This window comes from Homo sapiens, chromosome 12, assembly GCF_000001405.40.
Source record: "Homo sapiens chromosome 12, GRCh38.p14 Primary Assembly".
Classification (NCBI taxonomy): Eukaryota; Metazoa; Chordata; class Mammalia; order Primates; family Hominidae; genus Homo; species Homo sapiens.
The window spans coordinates 29,713,646-29,734,383 of NC_000012.12; the positions used below are offsets into that span (position 1 = coordinate 29,713,646).

The 20,738-nt window shown below is 38.7% G+C and overlaps 1 protein-coding gene across 9 annotated transcripts in view, besides 1 other annotated feature; it reads right to left on the bottom strand.

The window, feature by feature from the left end:
• The window catches only part of TMTC1 (transmembrane O-mannosyltransferase targeting cadherins 1), a 283,947-nt gene that overhangs the window by 212,833 nt on the left and 50,376 nt on the right, over positions 1-20,738 (bottom strand). The window lies entirely within an intron of this gene.
• Positions 19,044-20,243: an enhancer, noted in NCBI's record as "CDK7 strongly-dependent group 2 enhancer chr12:29885622-29886821 (GRCh37/hg19 assembly coordinates)". NCBI's record gives its function as "activates an origin of replication core promoter dependent on BRD2, BRD4, P300/CBP, MED14 and CDK7 cofactors, with strong dependence on CDK7, by STARR-seq in HCT116 cells {active_cell/tissue: HCT116}" and the evidence as "EXISTENCE:reporter gene assay evidence [ECO:0000049][PMID:35650434]".

The window sequence follows — 20,738 nt, forward strand, 5'->3', positions numbered from 1 at the left end:
CAAGCTTGAACCAAAATCCAAATGTTTCCTTGAAAACTTGAATTTTAACATTAGAAATAAATACTATTAGGTATTTTCACTGAAGTACCAGGCTCATTCCTCATTTTGAAGAAAAATGCCTATTATGAACACCAAAGTATGAATAACCATAATTACTATGGTGTGAATGTCTCCCCAAATTCATGTGCTGAAAATATAATTTCCAATGCCACCGTGTAGAGAGGTGAGGTGTAACAAGAGATGTGTTGGTCATGAGGGTGGGGCCCTCATGAATGGATTAATGCTGCTATAAGCAGGGCTTGCAGCTGCGGGTTCTCTCTCTCTCCTGCTCTTCCTCATGTAAGGACACAACATTCTTTCTCACCGGAGGGCACAGTGTTCAATGCACCAAGGTAGAAGCAGAAAGACCAGGCCCTAATCTACCAGCACCTTGATCTTGGACTTCCCAGCCTGAAGAACTGTGATAGAATTAATTTCTGTTCTTTATAAATTACCCAGTCTGTGGTATTCTGTTATAGTAGAACAAAATGGACTAAGACAATAGTTTGTCAGCAAAATCTTTCTACCAAAAATGACGTTTTGTTAAAAGAAAAATAGTGGCCAGCGCAGCTTGCAATTCAAACAATCATTTAAGTGCTTTTCCTCATGACATTGTTCTTTGACGTGCAGCAGAAGTGCTTTATGCATATTGCCTGTTCCATCACATGGAATATTAAAAAGACATATACACAGGTGTTGGGATTTCTTTTAAAATTTTTTTTACTGCTTCATTGAGGATATTCTTAAGTGAAAATGGAATTTTTTTAAACCACAAATGTGAGCCAAAACATACAATGACCCCTGGTCATTTGTGCCACTGCTTTAATTCATGATAAAGGGCCAGTTGTTTTACCTACCATTGCTTGTGCACTGTCAGGGCAAATTATCCACACAGTAAAAATCACAAACATCTTTGTGTTACTATAAAAATAGTTTTTACCTCACAGAACCTCCCTAAAAGGATCTGGGGTACCCCCCCTGGATTTGTGGACCACAGTATAAGAACCACAGCACTGACTGGCTCTCTCCCAAACGCACATCCCAACAAGGATCAGAAGTCAAAATTCAAATTAGCAAATGCTGGGCATGATATGTCCCTGGCTCAGACTCCCCAGGGAAAAAGGATGGCCCCAGTGGTCATGATCTTAACACTGGAGTACATGCATCAGGGCCACACAAAGACTTTCCAGAACGAATCTGCCCAGAATCATGCTGCACTCTCAGAAGGAGTACAGTCCAGGAGCCATTTCTAGTTCTGTTTCCACCTTCTCTTTCACATTAGCCCTTACTTTTTCTCTTTTAAAAAATAGTACTTTTTACCCATACTGTTTGACAATAGTACACTGTCCTGAATGATAAATTCTCTCAGGGCACCCAGAAATGGTATAATTAGAAACACTGGTATTGGTGTTGCAAAAGAAAATGACTACATATACTGGAGAAAAATCATTTTGCAAGTGAGATGGTTTCTAACTGAATGCTTTCAACAAAATTGAAGCAGAATTTAATGGAGCCATTCACTGAAAGATCATTAAAAATGATATTTATGAAAGACCAATGAGTCATTTTTTGGCACATAATCCAAAAAAGTTCAAAGAATTAGGAGATTTTTGCTATAACAAGACTCTATTCTCATCTACCCCTATATATGAAAAGGTTTCTCATTATAAGTATATAAATGAAAAAGTGTGACAGCCATGATGGAACTCAGATTCACTCCAGCAATAAATAATAGTTAGCATTTAATACATAAGCTAATTTAAAAACTTATCCATCTCAGTGACATGCATTTCAATAACATTTTATTTTTCACTTTTAATAATTATGGGCATAAAAATAAAGCAAACAGTTACATTGTATTTATTATGGCCCAGGAACTATTCTAAGCACTTTATATATATGAACTGATTTAGACCTCGTAACATTTATATTAGCTTGGCATTTGTATTAGTCCATTCTCATGCTGCTATGAAGAAGTACCCAAGACTGGGTAATTTATAAAGAAAAGAGGTTTAATTGACTCAGAGTTCCACATGGCTGGGGAGGCCTCAGGAAACTTACAATCGTGGTGGAAGACACCTCTTCACAGGGTGGCAGGAGAGAGAATGAGTGCTGAACAAAGGGGAAAAAGCCTCTTATAAAACCATCAGATCTTGTGAAAACTCACTCACTATTATGAGAACAGCATGGGGGAAACCACACCCATAATTCATCACCTTCCATTGGGTCCTTCCCACAACATGTGGGGATTATGGGAACTATAATTCAAGATGAGATTTGGATTGGGACACAGCCAAACTCAGTATTATTATTATTATTATTATTATTATTATTATTATTATTATTATTTTAGAAACAGGGTCTCACTCTGTCACCCAGAATGGAGTCCAGTGGCAAGATTATAACTTCCTGCAGCCTCGAAATCCTAGGCTCAGACCAACCTCCTGCCTTAGCCTCCCCAGTAGCTAAGAGCACAGGTGCATACCACTACAACTGGCTAATTTTTAAAGATTGTTTTGTTGAGATAGAATATTGCTATGTTTCCCAGGCTGGTCTTGAACTGCTGGCTTCAAGGGATCCACCTGCCTCAGGTTCCCAAAGCTTTGAGATTACGGGTATGAGCCACTACACCCAGAGACTAGCATTATTTTGAACTTCCATTTTACAGATAAGGCAACGAAAAGTCTAGAGCAACTAGAGTTAGAGGTGAGATTTGAAACCATTTACTCAGGCTCCAGAGTATGTGCTTTTAACTACTACACTATGCTGTCTCAAAGATTAAAAAATAACATTAATACTGTTTTAATAAATTGTTTATTAAAAATATTCATAATTAATACAGAAGAAATTTTAATATTTAGAGCCTAAGGATATGGGAAATTTAAAAATCATACTAATTTATTTATAGATTTTTTTATTGCAAAGAAATATAATACAGTGACTAATGAAAACATAAAATTGTATAAAATTAAAATAAAATTCTACAAGCCAAATGGAATAAAAACGTTAGTTCAAAATGGAAAAAGAATAATATAAAATTCCAAGAGCTGGCCGGGCACAGGGGCTCACGCCTGTAATCCCAGCACTTTGGGAAGCCGAGGCAGGCAGATCACGAGGTCAGGAGATCGAGACCATCCTGGCTAACACAGTGAAACCCCGTCTCTACTAAAAATACAAAAACTTAGCCGGGTGTGGTGGCGGGCACCTGTAGTCTCAGCTACTTGGGAGGCTGAGGCAGGAGAATGGCGTGAACCTGGGAGGTGGAGCTTGCAGTGAGCCGAGATCGAGCCACTGCACTCCAGACTCCAGCCTGGGCAACAGAGCAAGACTCCGTCTCAAAAAACAAACAAACAAACAAACAAAAATTCCAAGAGATAAAAGACGAGCTTATTGATATATTTTTAAAATATAATGGTAGATAAATCACTTTTAGTATTTATATTCCATTTGACATATTTAAAACAAGGATCTAACAATTTTATATTAAATTATCAACATCAACAACATATGGGAAATTATACTCTTTGTAAATACTGAGCATTTACAACGAAAAATTTTAGGTGCCAATATAAATGTGAGAAGGCGTTCACGGGATTTCAAAATAAACTTACGGAGTAAGTGGACCAAAATGTTTAAAGAGCACTGCCCTGGACTATAAGAAAGAGCCCTCTTCTTAGCCTGAAGAATTTTCCTAGAACAGCTTGAAATCCACCCGGTCTAAATTGAGTGGTGCATGTGAAACTTGCCTGTAATGGCTCAGCCTCAGTTGCAACCTTATCATGGTTTGCTTACTAAGGCAGTGTTCCACTGAAAATGTAGCTTTCCTCCTAACTTAAAAAAAAGATCAGGTTTTATTAATGCACAGTTTCACAAACCTGTGTTCCAAAGTAAAAACTAATCATTAGCTTAACAATTTAGTTTAACAAATTAGTTTAGAAAATTCTAAGGGTTTGAAGAGAGTTAGCAGTTGTATTATTTAGTTTAAATGCCTCATATTAGATATGAGGTCATACTATTCCAAAACAGTCACTTGCAACTTGATAGAGTCATAATCATTTAGTAATTATTAAGGGAATTTCAAAGTTTTGTCATATTGGGAATTATAATTCCTTCCACAAATGAAAAGACATGCACATCATTATAACTAATTATTACAAGTGATTATTATAATAATTACTCTTCAATTAAGAAACTTGTACTTTGAACTTGCATGTGATTTATGATTAAGTGATGACAGATACTTACCAGAAAGAAAAATTCTACAATACAATGCAGATCACATGCAATAAATGAAACCACTCAAAATAAACACTGTTTTCCTAGGTACAATCCATCAGTTAAAATGTCAAAATAAGTAAAGGGAGGTAATATTTATGCTAATGGCGAAGTATCTTGTATTGAACCAACACACTCACCAAAACAAACAAACAAACAAAAAATCCCACCATTTAAAACTCTGTACACAAGATTGAAAATAAGTGCTTCAAGGTACTGGAGAGTGATCAAAAGCAGGCAGAAACCAGAAGGGAACCAATACTTTGAAGATGGGAACAGTATGAAAAGTTTCCTGTTTTTTGTGGCTTTTCATCTGAGGGGAAGGGACAGCTGGCACCACTGTGCAGGGCAGCTAAGATTCTAATAGAAACTCCTATTTTTATTAGTTTGAAAAATTTAAAGACAGAATCCAGAGCAGCCTTGATAACTGTAAAGCGAAGAGGAAATCCTGTAAAGAAGAGAGTCACAGAAGACTGTCCCCAATTCTGCATAATCTCTGCTCAAATATCTGGCCGACTTCTGGCCTACATGTGTGAAGCAGAACTCCAAATAGCCCTGGTAAGGCTGTAAGATCTCAACAGGGATTTCAGATGCCATCCCATTGCAGGAGATACAGTTGGGAAGTTCAAGTTCAGCCAAATTAACTGACTACTAAAACAAACACAATCAATTATATTGAGAGGAATATAAAATAATTAAGAATCTCTATCACACCTGTAATTCCAGCACTTTGGGAGGCTGAGGTGGGTGGATCATGAGGTGAGGAGATCGAGACCATCCTGGCTAACACGGTGAAACCCCGTCTCTACTAAAAATACAAAAAATTAGCCACGAGTGGTGACGGGTGCCTGTAGTCCCAGATACTTGGGAGGCTGAGGCAGGAGAATGGCATAAACCCAGGAGGCGGAGCTTGCAGTGAGCTGAGATCGCGCCACTGCACTCCAGCCTGGGTGACAGAGCGAGACTCCATCTCAAAAAAAAAAAAAAAAAAAGTTCACTGAGTGGACTTAGCATATTAGTCAGTAAACCTGTAGATAAATAAAAAGAAATGATACGATCTGAAGAAATAATAAACAAGCCACATTTTTGCTTCGAGACTGGAATGCAGCTTACAATTGTAATTGTCAGTGTTTTCTCTCTCTCTTTTTTGTGGTAAATAAAATAATAGTGCATTTGAAAATTGGTGGCATTGTAGAATTAACAAAATACAGAAGTTCATATTCTATTTCAGATAATCTCTATTTATAAAGTCTGTGGGTCTAATTTTGGCATCTGGTTTTTATCTTTAAGCTTTCTCATGGTGTTTTGTTCACTCGTGCATTTTTAAATTATAGCACTGAGCTCTTATTTCTTGGAATTTCTTCTTTGTGAATACTTGGATGCCTGGGTTGCATTATATGATTTGCTCCATTTGCCTGGGAATAGTACAAAACCCAGGAGTATGTTAAATTTCCACTTGAAGTTTTTTTGGAAAATACGGTGGTATGAATTCAAGGTATAAAACCTTATGCTGGCTGGTTTGTGATTATACATCCTCAAGGGAACTCTTTCCCCTGCATAGCCAATGTCAATGCTTAGGTCAGTGAAATTTCCTTATGGTGACCTCACAGCGAGGGTGTAACCCTTGAGAATCACAGCTTTATGCAGTGAGACAGGATGTCTCTCATTGACTCTCCCTCTTGGGTGGTCACTGGGCTTTTTTCTTCTATTCTGCAATGCCTGCAAGGCCACGGACTTTTTAGAAAGCTCAACTACGACCTTACTTAATGAATGCTTTCATAGTCCTTTTACCTTTTCAATGTCCCGCTTTCACCTGATTTTTGGTTTCTGAGAACTACTTAGCTCATCAGTATACTCACAAAGTGGATTTTAGAAAATATTTTATCTGGCAGTTTTTATTGCTTTTCCATAGGAGGATCTAGCTGCAGTATTGCCAGAACAAGAAATTCACCTCTATCTGTTCCTGTGTCTAACTAGGATATCATGTGAACTGAATGAGCCTTACGTTTTCTTTATTGACAGCTTAGTGAGTGACTTTTGAACCAGGGTTGCATGTCTTAAGGAACAACCCCATCTTGAGGACTCAGTAACTTAAAAATGGATCTGCTGGTGCTCTCTCGACCATGAATTCTGAGGTGGCAGAACAGAGGCCAAGGTTTTGTTAGGTCATAATGCTATCATGTTTGAACTCCATTCATGTGTCGTGCTAGGAAAGGAGTGGTATTATCCCAGTCTTCCAGCTTAAACATTTCACAACACTAAATCCATACTCTTTCTCCTTGTGTCTTACAATTCTCCAAGCTAGATCCCTGAGCATATTCCATAATCAGTGGGAAAGGGAGCTGAGCACATCTGCACAGCCTCCTGTTTCGGTGAGTTTCTCCCAATAAATATGGTGCCAGATGGCCCAGTGTGTTTGCTCTTAGGAATTTCACATCTTCTCACTCTATAATGTCTAGAAGATCTGTAAATATGCATAAGAAGGAAAGTAATATAAAAAAGACCAATAAGATTTGAATATAAACAAAAAGTACCTCTAGAAATAAAAAGCATAACTGAAATATTAAATTCTATGGACAGGTTTATGAACACAACAAATCAAAATGATAAAAGAATTAACAAAGTGAAATTAGACTTAATTAAATTATGGAGAATATAATATAAATGGACAAAAAGATAGAAATATGAAACTAGAGTTAATAGAAATGGGGGAGAGTAAGAAAATTTAACATGCTTCAATACGAGATCAAGAGAAAAAGATAAACAATGAATAGAGGCAGTATTAAAACAGACAATGGCCACAAGTTTTCCAGATTGGCAAGAAGCCCATTCCACAGGTTCAGGATTCCTAACATATCCCAAGCAGGATAAATAAAAATATATCCACATGTCAACTACCAACATGAAAATGCAGATGATCAAAGACAAAAGATCTTAAAAGTAGTCAAAGAGAAAACCCTGATTATATACAAAAAAAGTGGCAGAGTGGTGACCTACTGAAGCCAAGAATGGAAGCTAGAAGACAGAACACTGGCTTCAATGAGCTGAGAAAAAAATAACTGTCAAATCAGAAATACATCCCTAAAAAAATCTTCCAAAAATTAAATTGAAATAATGATATTTTAAATATACAAAACTAAAGGGGTATATCACTGTCTTACACCTACTTCAGGAAATTTTGGAAATATTTTTTAGTAGAAAGTGCTTATTAAGAGGTATGTGTATGCATGTGTGTGTGTTGAGAGAGAGAGATTTACAAAAACAAGATGGGAATAAACTACTTGATAATAATAGGATATATGTCATGAGAGATCTACTGTATTTACTGACACATTGAATAACTTTCCACTTTGTTTATAAGAGTCAGACCTGAAAGATAAAAGTTTGAAAAGGGAGTAAGTTTGAAAAGATAGAAAAATGTATCAGCCAAACACTAACCCAAAGAAATCTAGCATAGTTATAACAAATTAGCTATTTTACACACAATAAACTCTAATACAAAGACTAGAGAAAAGGTTCTAATCACCAAAAAGATATTATATTTCTAAATTTGTTTACTCCCAATAGCACCGCCTGAAAATATATATATAAAGCAAAAGTGACAGAATTCCAAGGAGAAATAAACAAATCTACATTAATGAAAAAATTTTAACACACTCCTTTCAGCAACTGAGAGATCAAAAAGATCAATAACAACATAAAAGATTTAAATAACACCATTAACCAGCTTGTTCTTATACACCAGCACTTTTTAAAAATTTTGGTTTCAGAGCCCCTTTACATCCTGAAAAACTATTGACAACCCTAAAAAGCTTTTATGTATATAGGTTATTTCTGTTGATATCTACCATATAAGAAATTAAAACATAATTTAAGGAAATATTTCTTTAATAATAATTTTTAAATAATGATAAGCTTATTTCACATTAACATAAATTTTATAAAATATATTTTCTAAAACAAAAAAAAATCAGTGATAAAGGGGTTTTGTTTTTCAGTTCTGGAAATCTCCTTAACATCTGGCTTAATAGATGCCTATTGTATCCTTCTACTATCTGCTTCTATATTCATTTTGTTTCAATATCACGTCATGTAGCTTCTAGAAAACTCCATTGTGCATTCATGAAAGAATGAGAAAAAGGCAAATAATATCTTAGTATTGCTATAAGAATAATTTTGACCTCATGGACCCCTTGAAAGGGTCTTGGGGAACCTTCAGGGTCCCTAGATGATATATTGACAACTGCTAGTGTATAATGTGCAGGAATTTGCACCTACAATGCAGAAAATACATGAAACTTTTATAAATGTTGATCATCCACAAAAGAGCGGTGGTGATCTGTTGAGTTTTATGGCCCAGTTGGGTTTGATGACATATTGGGCCATAAAATAAGTCTAAACACATGTTAAAGATTTATATGTTAAAAGCCGTACTCTGTGATGACAATGAAATTACTTGGTAACCAATAATATAATCTCTTAAAGACCAGGTAATGACAAAGCTGCCTTCTTTCACTGCTTCTGTTCACTAATTGTAGGTCTAAGATGGAACCATAGGCAAAAATATAAGCAAAAATTATAAAGGTTAAAAAGAAAGAAGTAGTTTAAAGATGGTATGATTGTATATGTCGATGATCTAAAAGATTCTATTCATGAACTGTTAGAACTAGAAAGTTTAGGCCGGGCGCAGTGGCTCATTCCTGTAATCCCAGCACTTTGGGAGGCCAAGGTGGGCAGAACACCTGAGGTCAGGAGTTCAAGACCAGCCTGGCCAACATGGAGAAACCCCATCTCTACTACAAATACAAAAAAACAGCAGGGTGTGGTGGCACGCGCCTATAGTCCCAGCTATTTGGGAGGCTGAAGCAGAAGAATTACTTGAACCCGGGAGGCAGAGGTTGCAGTGAGCTGAGATCGCACCATTGCATTTCAGCCTGAGCAACAGAGCAAGACTCTGTCTCAAAAAAAAAAAAAAAGGAAGAAAGAAAGAAAAAAGAAAAGAACTAGAAAGTTTAGCAATGTTGCTAAATAAAAAAATTAAGACACAAAAATCAATTTTATTTCTATACACTAGCATTAAAAGGTTAAAAAATGTAAATTATAAAGAGTACCTTTTATAAGAGTTTCAAAAAATAAGGAGTCTAAGAAGATTTGAGCTTTACACAGAAAACTGTAGAACACGAAAAGACACTAAAGAAGCTCAATAGTCAGAAAAGTATATCCAGTTTCTTATCCATTATAAGAAAACTCAGTATTATTAATGTCAATTCTCCCAACATTGATCTATATAGTCTCAACATAATTCTAATAAAAACTTCTAAAATTTTAATAAAACAGCAAAGTTTCATAAAATAATGAAGACAACTATAAAGACCTACAAAGCAGTTATTATGACAGTTATTTAAATTGTTTTAAGGCTACAATAATTAAGACTAGGTAGTATTAGCATGGAAGACAGAGGAACACAAAAGAGAAACCAAGCCAGGAGCAGTGGCTCACACCTGTAATCCCAGCACTTTGGGAGGCCAAGGCAGGAAGATCTCTTGAGCACAGGAGTTAGAGACCAGCCTGGGCAACATAGTGAGACCCCATCTGTACTTTTCTTTTTTTTTTAATTAGTCAGATGTCTGTAATCCCAGCTACTTGGGAAGCTGAGGTAGATGGATCGCAGGAGCACAGGAGTTCAAGACTACAGTGAGCTAAGATGGAGCCACTACAAGCCAGGGAAACAAAGCAAGACCCTGTCTCTACTGTCTGTAAGGAAAAAACGAGAGAGAGAGAGAAGGAAACCAGAAACTGATATGTGTAAGTAGAAATTTAATCTGTGACAGTTTTGGCCCTGTAGATCAGTAGTAAAGAACTGGAGCTTCAGTGAATCATACTGAGACATTTGGTTATTCATATGGATAACAAGAAAGAAAAGATGGAAGGAAAAAAGTAAAGAAGGGGGACTCAGGTAAAGTGAAGACCTTAGACTTAAAAGTCAAAAGTATGTTTTCAGAAATGTTTAGAAAACAATATGAACATTTTCATGACCTCAAGATAGAGAAGACCAGAATATAGTGTGAATCTTGGAGGAACAGACTGACAAATTCTACTACATTAACGACCCTAAGAAAAATCAGCAAGAGACTTGAAAAGGCGCTTCGCAGGAAAAAAATCCCAAGTGGCCAATAATAATCATGTGACTATGTGATCAATCTCATTAGTAATTAGGGAAAAACAAATTACAACACAGTTAGAAAATATTTCATACACGACAAGTTTGAAAATGTTAAAGTCTGATATATCAGCGTTGGCAGGAGCCTGGAGCATCATGAACACGCAAACTCTGCTGAGTGTGGTATATATTGTTACAACCAGTTTGGGAGAAGAAATAGGGCCTAATTAATAATGATGAAGATACACATGCCCTATGACCTGAAAAATGTCATTTGTAAGAATACAACCTAAGGAAATCCATGTACATATATATGAGAAATGTAAAGAATGTTCACAAAAGCACTATTGACAGGAAAAAAGTAAAAACCCAAATTTCTTTCCATCACCACATTCTGGATGATAAGTGATACAGCCATTATCCAACTTACACAGCATTACATAGAGTATTACACAGCTGGGAAATGACTGGAATTTAGACGCCAGCAATAACAAAGATGGGTCTCAGAAACATAGTGTTGCATGAAAATAGCAAGTCACCAAATTACATATATTTTATGATTCATCTACATATATGTATCATATAGGAATACAAACGTGGTGAAACCATAAAGTAAGAGAAAAATAAACACAAAATTCACAATAATGTTACCTCTGAGGATACTGGGAAGAGAATGGGTTGGCAGAAGGACACCCAATACACAAGGATCTTTTAAACTTTACATACAGTTTTAAAAAATTCTCTATCTACTCAAAGCTTAACTTTTAAAGTAAAATAAATAGATTATACAAAAGTAAACCAACGAACATGAGCTAAAATGGCACGAAGTTCAAATGTTTTATTACAAATGATAACCAAAAATTCAGCGTAGTTTAGCTATATATCTGCCAAGTTCTTTTTTTTTTTTTTTTTTTTTTTTGAGATGGAGTCTCGCTCTGTTGCTCAGGCTGGAGTGCAGTGGCATGATTTCGGCTCACTGTAACCTCCTCATGGGTTCAAGCAATTCTCCTGCCTCAGCCTCCCGAATAGCTGGAATTACAGGCACCTGCCACCATGTCTGGCTAATTTTTGTTTTGTTTTTTTTTTAGTAGAGATGGGGGTTTCACCATGTTGGCCAGGCTGGTCTCGAACTTGTGACCTCATGTGATCCACCCACCTTGCCCTCCGAAAGTGCTAGGATTACAGGCATGAGCCACCACGCCTGGCCTGCCAAGATCTTTTTTTTTCTTTTTTGGGATGGAATTTCGCTTTTTGCCCAGGCTGGAGTGCAATGGCTCCATCTCAGCTCACTGCAACCTCAGCCTCCCAGGTTCAAGTGATTCTCCTGTGTCAGCCTCCCAAGTAGCTGGGATTATAGGCATGAGCTACCACACCCAGTCCTGCCAAGTACTTAATGTGGAAATTTCTCATTCTGAATTAGCAGATCATCATGTAATAAAGGCAGAATTGAAAGACTACTAGTGAATAATTGTGTTTATAAAACATGGCACCCAGATAAATGACAAAAGTCCTGTAAAATATATTATTTACTCCTGGTTCATAATTAATTACATGCTCTATGGAGACAAGATGCTCCAGTAATGAAGTTTTTGACATTTCAGGAAAAACGTTTATTTGATCTGCTATTTCACAATGGTCTATCATCTGCTACAACATTCAATCTTCTATAAATAAGATTTCACAGTCATCACTGGAGCGGACTTCCTGAGAAAAAACAATAACATTTAAGACATCTAATTGCTAAAACTCAATATTCAAATTCAACACTTTATTTTTTCTCTCTACTAATGCTACTGCAAAGAAGTACATTCTAATCCTAAAGACAGACTGCCTGCTGGAAGGAGAAGAATTCCGGCTTCTCCTAACTGTTTAAAGATCCAGGCCTTTATATACAGAGCCACCTAAGCCCAGGATTCCACAGCCTGACTGAGTTGGTTGCCAAGTATTTGGCCTGAGCAGAATTTAAAAACATACACCGTGTTCTGGTTCATCTAGCATTGCTCTGGGAAAAAACAATGCAGTCAGTCCCAGGGGACACCACCCTGCGCTGCTAGGCTACTGAGCCAGAGATGCACAGAATTAAGGAGGGGGGTGGGAAGCAGCCTGTCTCATGAAATCATTCTAGATTTCTGCCCTCGTTTCTGCCTGTGCAATGTCTCAAACCAGCTCACTAGCTGTATTTGATATCTTTCTTTACTCTAAGACAATAGCAATTAACATGAAAGCTGCTCTTTATAGACATCGGGGACATTTAAATACAATATTTACTCTGTTAGTTACAGAGATTCCAAGCCATCTCCCAATCTTAATATAACCCCAGAGAAGCTCTCCCTAGATTTTTAGTAAAGTCCTTTTCAATCTACGTCTGATTCTGTGAGCTCAAGAGGAAACAGGGCATGTAGCCAAGACAAGCATATAAACAGAGGTACAGACCGACTGCCTTTCTCCAGGAGGGCAACCAACCCTAGACTCTCTTCAGTTGTTTGGGAATTAGATCTGTCTTCTCTCCAATCTCATTATACCTTTATAATAACACCTGACACTATTGCATCCCTTACCCTTTAACAATCCAAAAATTCCATCCCTGGTTAAATGCTGGCCATACCAACATGGTGCTCTCCAGCCACTGAAAACAGACCAGAAAAAAATCAGAAGGCCAAGGCAATACCATCAATCTAGAGATTATCCTAAAGTTCCGAAGACTTACTTAGATTAAGAAATTAAATGTAAACATAAAAGATTATCCCTTCCAAATATCTACACGACTTTTAAGTAGCACTAGATGTAGTTAAGAGATAATGAATTATGTACACAGGAAAACAGGACAGCTAACAACCTTCTCCACAATCTTCCAGGATGCACTGCTGAGCACAGCAGGGGTATAACTCTGCTGCTCTGTCCTGATGAGGCTGAGAGCAACTTCAAATGCAATTATTAAATAAATAGCCCAAAATGTCAAAATGCAGCATAAAAACCATAACACACAATGTCTCAGCTTCTCTGTATTTGGTAAGATTCAATGTGTGATTTATTGAGTCTGTACTATAGCACTGTATGATCAAAGCAAAAAGAAAAAGACAAAGAAAGGCTCAGTATTGTGGTCCCAGACTGATTTTCTGAAATAGAGTCAAAGATTTTGCATACTGCAGGTACAGCTATGGATTACAGTGATGCAGGAGCCCCCAACTCACAGAGAGAAAGTGTGGGAACTTGGGGGACCAAAACCCTGAAATGTATTTATTTATTTATTTTTATTTTTATTTATTTATTTTTTTGAGACGGAGTCTTGCTCTGTTGCCCAGGCTGGAGTGCAGTGGCGCTATCTTGGCTCACTGCAAGCTCCGCCTCCTGGGTTCACACCATTCTCCTGCCTCAGCCTCTCAAGTAGCTGGGACTACAGGCACCCACCACCACGCCTGGCTAATTTTTTGTATTTTCAGTAGAGACGGGTTTTCACTGTGTTAACCAGGATGGTCTCAATCTCCTGACCTCGTGATCTGCCCGCCTCAGCCTCCCAAAGTGCTGGAATTACAGGCGTGAGCCACCGTGCCTGGCCCTGAAATTTATTTTGAATGTCAAATATTAAGAGGATTTATTGTTTTCCTTCCCATTCACAGGCACTCAATTCTGCAGTTGTTGCAAAAGGATAATGAATTTGTAGCAGTTTTTTGTTTTGTTTTGTTTTGTTTTCAAGACAGGGTCTCACTATTGACCAGGCTAGAGTGCACTGCCACAATCATAGCTCACTGCAGCCTTGAACTCCTGAGCTCAGCTATCCTCCCACCTCAGCTTCCCGAGTAGCTGGGACTACAAGTGTGCACCACTGTGCCCAGCTAATTTAAGAATTAGGAGTTTAAAGCGAAGCAACGACTGGCCACACAACATTAAGTATCTTCTGCGCGCCCAATAGCAGTAGAAACCCCTTTCGAAAAAGTAGGAGCTTTATTGTGATGCACAGCAATATTACAACTTTTGGCGGAGATTACAGTTTGCAAAATAAATGACATAATGTAGTATCTTAAGCATCAGGCTCCGTTGTTAAAGCCAGCACCCTAATCCTCTGTGACAGGGAGTGAGGATCCATGGGGCAGAAGGGAGCGGAGCCAGATGCTGGGAGATCTCAGAGTTGGAAGGAAACAGCTGACAGCAGAGTACATCCTGTCAGTCCAGAGGCTCAGGAGCTGTGATCTGAATTCAGAACGTGGGGAGGAGGAGGCCACGCAAACCAGCTTCTCTCTCTGGAGCCTCCTGGACAGTCATGGCCAAGGAAACGCCAATGGCAGCTAAAGCAAACTGCCCACATGTGGGAAGCCAGGGAGTGCAGGGTTGTACAAGCTCGAACAGACCTTAAAAATCACCCAACTTGCTCATTTCACAAGTCAGGGAAAGGAATGACTACCCAGAAGCTTATCCTTAGGACACAGACCCCACGTCTCTAACCTAAGTCCTCTATCCCTCGTCACACAAAGCAGATGAGCAGCATTTGGTAGAAACGCTGACTCTCAGACCTGCCTCATGACCGCTGAACCAGGAATTATTTTGAAACAACATCCCCAGAAAATTCCCAAAAACGTGAAGGCTTAAAAAGCACTGCTCTGGCAAGGCGCAGTGGCTTACGCCTGTAATCTCAGCACTTTGGGAGGCCAAGGGAGGTGGATCACGAGGTCAGGAGTTTGAGACCAGCCTGGCCAACATAATGAAACCGCCGTCCTACAAAAAAAAAAAAAAATTACCTGGGTGTGGGGGCTGGTGCCTGTAACCCCAGCTACTAGGGAGGCTGAGGCAGGAGAATCACTTGAACCCAGGAGGCAGGGGTTGCAGTGAACTGAGATCACACCACTGCACTCCATCCCTGGTGACAGTGCAAGACTCCATCTCCAAAAAAAAAAAAAAAAAAAGCACTGCTCTAAACCACAGGTTAACTCTTCCAATCCAGCAAAGCACAGACTCTGGAGACAAACTCCCAAGTTCAAATCTCGACCCCTTTACTTCCCAACTGTGTGACCTAGGCAAATGCCTTAAACTCTCCGTCTCTCAGCTTCCCTCTGTAAAATCATCACAATAACCTATCTTATAGGGTTCTTGTGAGCGTTCTCAATAATTTGTCACTATTGTTCAAATTATGTTGGAATATCTGCTAACTCCACTGTCTCCCTACTAGATTGGGAGCTCCTTGGAGGCAGAGAATTTCCTGTGTATTCTGGATCTCTCCAGTTTGTGCTCCAGATGCAGTCTCCACTCTGCTTCTCATCAGAAGGCCAGCCGTGTGGTCACATCAATAAACTTCCCTACCTTCTGCTTTCTAGTTTCATGCACGAGGGGGAACCTGGCCCAAGAGCAGAGGACAGGAGGAAGAGAATTCAGGGTGTTTCTCACCCAGACTCCCTCACTGCTAGGTCACCTCAGGCTGACTGGTGACTTTATCCCTTCACAAGGGCATCTGGACCAAAGGTTCCCATCACAATGACTTCTGCAGGACTCTTGCTTCCCAGGTTATGGGTGATAACAGTTCCTCTGCTGTGACTTCCATGGGGTTACGGCCTCACTGGTGTAAACAGTCCCTTTGTAGATAATCCCCCTCCAATGATCCTAATTTGAATGTGCCATCTCTTTCCTCTTGTGGGTCACTATGTCTCCTTCCATTCACCCAAGAAGTATTTTATGCACGTGTACTATGTGCCAGATACTATTCTAGGTGCTGAGGACACGAAAGTAAAATAAAAAGGACAAGATCCCTGCACTCTTGGAATTCATCTTCAGACTTAACACTGTGTGTGGTACAGAGCAGATGCCCTTCTAAAGGGATAAATATAATTTCCTCTTCTCATTAAAACTTTTCCTCAACCCTGAATCAGAAGTGCTTACTATGGGGTTCAGCAAGAGCCTGCTGATTACATATAGCGGACATGCCAACGAGAACAAGGGATGGGGGGAAGTAAGCCACACAAGTGACTCTGAGCCTTTGCAGAAGGGTGCAGTTGAAACAAGCAGCATATAGATGTGGATCCAAATCTACTCATTTTCATTTAACAAACTCAAGGACTCTGAAAATATTTTACCTGACAAAGTGAGATTTAAAAAATAAACACAGGAAGGTGAGCTTTGTGGCTTTTCTGACAGATCAAACCACTGCGTGCAGCCTAATTCCCACCAGCTGCCAAAGAACTACACCACAGGTGAATATTCATGCTTGTGCTTTTTTAAAAGATGAATTTCCTGGAAAACAGCCACATTTCTTAGGAGGCAAACAGGTTAAGCTAAATGTCTTATTAGGAATATGTGTCACTTAAAATTCTGAGTTTGGGCTTTGCAAGGTCATCTTTCCACACCTGCTTGAAAGTTTCATCAAAATAATACCCATGCCTAGAGACCAGGAGATGCTATTGATTCTTCTCTCCCGCTTTTCCTTCTCCAAAAGTCAGATTTACTGCAAGCAAGCAGAGAATCTACATTTAGAACCATCCCTGAGAAGGATCACCGGATGACAGCATTGTCATCTGCAGCGAGGATGGTGGCTACGAGCACTAAGACAATTTAATTATTTCCTGAGGCCAACAAAGATTTCACCTGCTCTTTCTTCAGCTGTTCCTAATTAGAATAAAAGCCAGGAAACCCAGTAATAATAACAGCTGTTAGCTTCCAAAGTCTTCACTCTCAACATAGTACTAATTCAGCTAGGGTATAAAACGGGAAGGAATCAGAATGGGAAATGCCATTCAGTATTTGTTCAAAAGGCCCTCACATTGTTGGTATTTTTGTTAGTGTTTGTTAATATGAAGCAGGAACTTTTTTAAATCCCTGTTTTATGCAAGTCACAGCAGGTTCCCTTGCAAGGATCATTCCATTAACAAGAAATTGAACAGGAGTGGGTACTACATATTCTTGAGGAACATCATGAATTGGAACTTGGAGGAAGGCATGCAGTCAAATGAACAAAAAACCAAAAATCTATTTTCTGCAGTTTTCTGTCAGTGAACTCGTTTTTACTAAAAGAGAATTTAATTCAGCAAATAAATGGGCTGATAATAATCTAAAAGTCTAGCAAAGTGGATTTTATTTGGTTTATTTATTTATATAAAAAGGCTGGAGTGCAGTGGTGCAATCTAGGCTCACTGCAACCTCCGCCTCCTGGATTCAAGTGATTCTCCTACCTCAGCCTCCAGAGGAGCTGGGATTACAGATGTCTGCCACCATGCCCGGCTAATTTCTGTATCTTTAGTAGAGACGGCGTTTCATCATATTGGCCAGGCTGATCTCAAACTCTGTTCTCAAGTGATTCACCTGCCTTGGCCTCCCACAGTGCTGGAATTATATGCCCACAATGCACGGCCGCAAATTGGATTTTAAACAACGTAACAGCAAAGCAGTAGAGAGTAAACTTGAAGCTCTTAGAAGAAAAGAAACTGTTCAGGAACTGTCTGCTCCTTTTTATCCCATTTATGCTTGAGGTTGCAATTTTTTGAATTTTTGCAATCAGACCTTGGCAATGACCATGAGCAGTAGGATATAAATAACTCGATAAGCAAGTAGATCAATATATAAAAAAATTTACACTTTGGATCCATTTAAATACAAAAAAAGGAAATGAAATGCTGCGATACAGCTATCCAAATGTACACAGATTTTTCCAGTTATTGTAGCTACCACTTTTTATTACACACTTAAAAGATTTTTGGCAGCAACTGACCTAATTCTTCCAAGCCAGAATATGAATTCCCATATGGTTCTGTATTCTTTCCATTACTATACAGTTTTTCTTGGCTACTGTTTTCTTCTGCTCATTCCTTTTTCTCTCCTATAATATTCAAGCAACTTTACTCCCATTCCTATAAACAAAGATATGTATTATGATTATTTCTTTTGATCAGAATATTCTTTTCCTGAAATTAGTCAATTAAATATTTATTCCATATAAATTATGTAAAATACACAGTATTAAGCATTGTTGTAACTTTTTTTTAAAAGACCCTAGAAAGACTTCAAAATCTTTTTGAAAAGGGCACACATAATAAAGGTTACCAATACATGGTAGCAAATGATAATTGCAAAATCAGTAAAGCAATACTAAATTCACTGGGCCACAGGATAAGGCGATACCAGACTAGACTGGTGCTCAGGAAAGAGTACTCAAAGGACTGACTTTACACAGGAAGAAGTTACTGAGTGAGTGGAAAAGGTGAAAGTACAGAGGTAGATGACAAGAAAGGAAAAACCATGGCAACCAGAAACACAATGTATATTTCAGTGGGAGTGAGCAGAGACATTTGGCTACAGTAAGCCCTTCCAGTAGGAAAGTATTGGGAGATGAGGATAATCAGATGGGCTGGAAGCCAATCAGCTTATGAACACCAAGAGAAAGACACCATAAAAGCATGGTTCAGAGATTGCCTTAAAGGCCAGAGAAATCCCATTGTAGACCTGGTCCCGCTATGTACTAGCCTGGATTTCCATATCCACAAAATGTTAATAACAGCACTGATCTCAAAAGAGACTCTTTATGTATTAAACTGCAAAACATTTATCATAGTGATTAGCATATAGTACGGGATTTAAAAAAAATTACAGTCTGCCCTATTATTAGCCATGCTGAGGGGTCTGGGTGTCCTTGTGGCATCATTAAAGGGCTCTTGGTGCAGAGTGACATAACAAATCACTCTTCTGGCAAACAACGCCCATCACCCTGTCCAGAGGGAGGAGGCCACTCCCCACATCCCCTTTATGCAGGCTTCTCATGCCATTTAAAGTCAGTCCAACAACACAGATTGGAACTGGTCTCTTATCCACATAATTTCATTATGCTCGAGGGCCTCCAGGATAAAGCCTCTCACCTCTATACTCAGCTGTAGGTTTCCAACAATGTTCCAGTACCTTCTCCTATATATACTGAGCTTCCCAGTACAGTGAACGTGGACTTGGCTCAAGAAAGACCTGGATTCAAATAGTGACTGCATGTGTTACTTTTGACAAGTTCTTTTCTCTGAACTCAATTTTCTCCCATGCAAAATATGGAACATGAGATGTCAAGCCCTGGGCATTACCTGCTTTAATCATCATAACAATCCTATGAGAGAGATGTTACATTAGTCTCATTTTGCCCATAAGGAAACTGAGGTCTAGAAAGGTTGAGTAACTTGCTGAGTCACAGATGGTGTGGGTGGCGGAAGTAGGCAGTCTGGCTCCACAGAGCCTCCTTCACGTCCTCCTTTCTCACCTTCTCAGAATCCTGAGGGGGTAACTGCGTGGGTCAGACCCAGGCCTAGGGCCTACCTGATGTGACTTAATCACCTATGAGAATGCCCTTGGTTAACATAAAAGCCATAATGAAGGGAAATCCTTAACATCCTCTAAAAAGTTGTTCACTTATTATCACATTATTTTTATGCCTAACACCAAAGAGCTGACAGCCATTTTAGTGACATAGGGAGGCTATACAAGTCAGGCTAAAGTGCCAGCTGTTCACCACACTCTTATCTCCAATATTCCTTCTAGAATTAACAGCTTTTGATAAAAATTTCCATCTTCTGAACACATTCTGCCTTGTCACTCTCCTAGCTGCAACCTGACAAAATTTGCAGTCAGGTTGGCTTTATGCCTCAGTGTGAGCTTGAATCTCTTATGAGCTACTTCTCTATTCACTCATCAGTCTTTCTCTCCATTTCTGTGCCATCAATAATTTTTCTGAACTCAACACATCATGCTCTTTTCTTCACCTGTTTCAATATCGCTCTGCTCATTTTATTGTTTTACTTGCTAAGCTTCCCATGTCTTTGCTTTGACAATGCAAGGCCATTATTTTTTCATTGCAGTTTCCACAACATATTAATGCACTTGAAGTTGTTTATCTGTTTTTCTTTGAAGACCTACATCCAAGACTTTACTGGGGAAAATGTCTTGCTTCTGATATTACTGCTTAGGTCTTTGTGCCTTTTCATAATGCAATACTCCCCATTCTCTTTTACTTTGCCCAGGTACAGAATGTGTCCTAAAATAGATGTTGGCACACTGCTTTCCCACTGAGCAGACAAAAGGTATCTACTTAAACTATGATTCTCTTTTTCCTAATTCAATACTGCCTTTTGTCTTCTTACATTTCCACATGTCTCTTAATTTCCAGGAAAGTACAAATTATTCACAGGGATAATTTATTTCTCCTGAAATACCCTGCTGAGTTTGCCTGTCTCTAATAAAGGTCACACGCATTTACTAACCTGAAGAATAACTGGTATGCTCTGATTTTTTCAAGTGGGTTCTAGGAGACACAAGA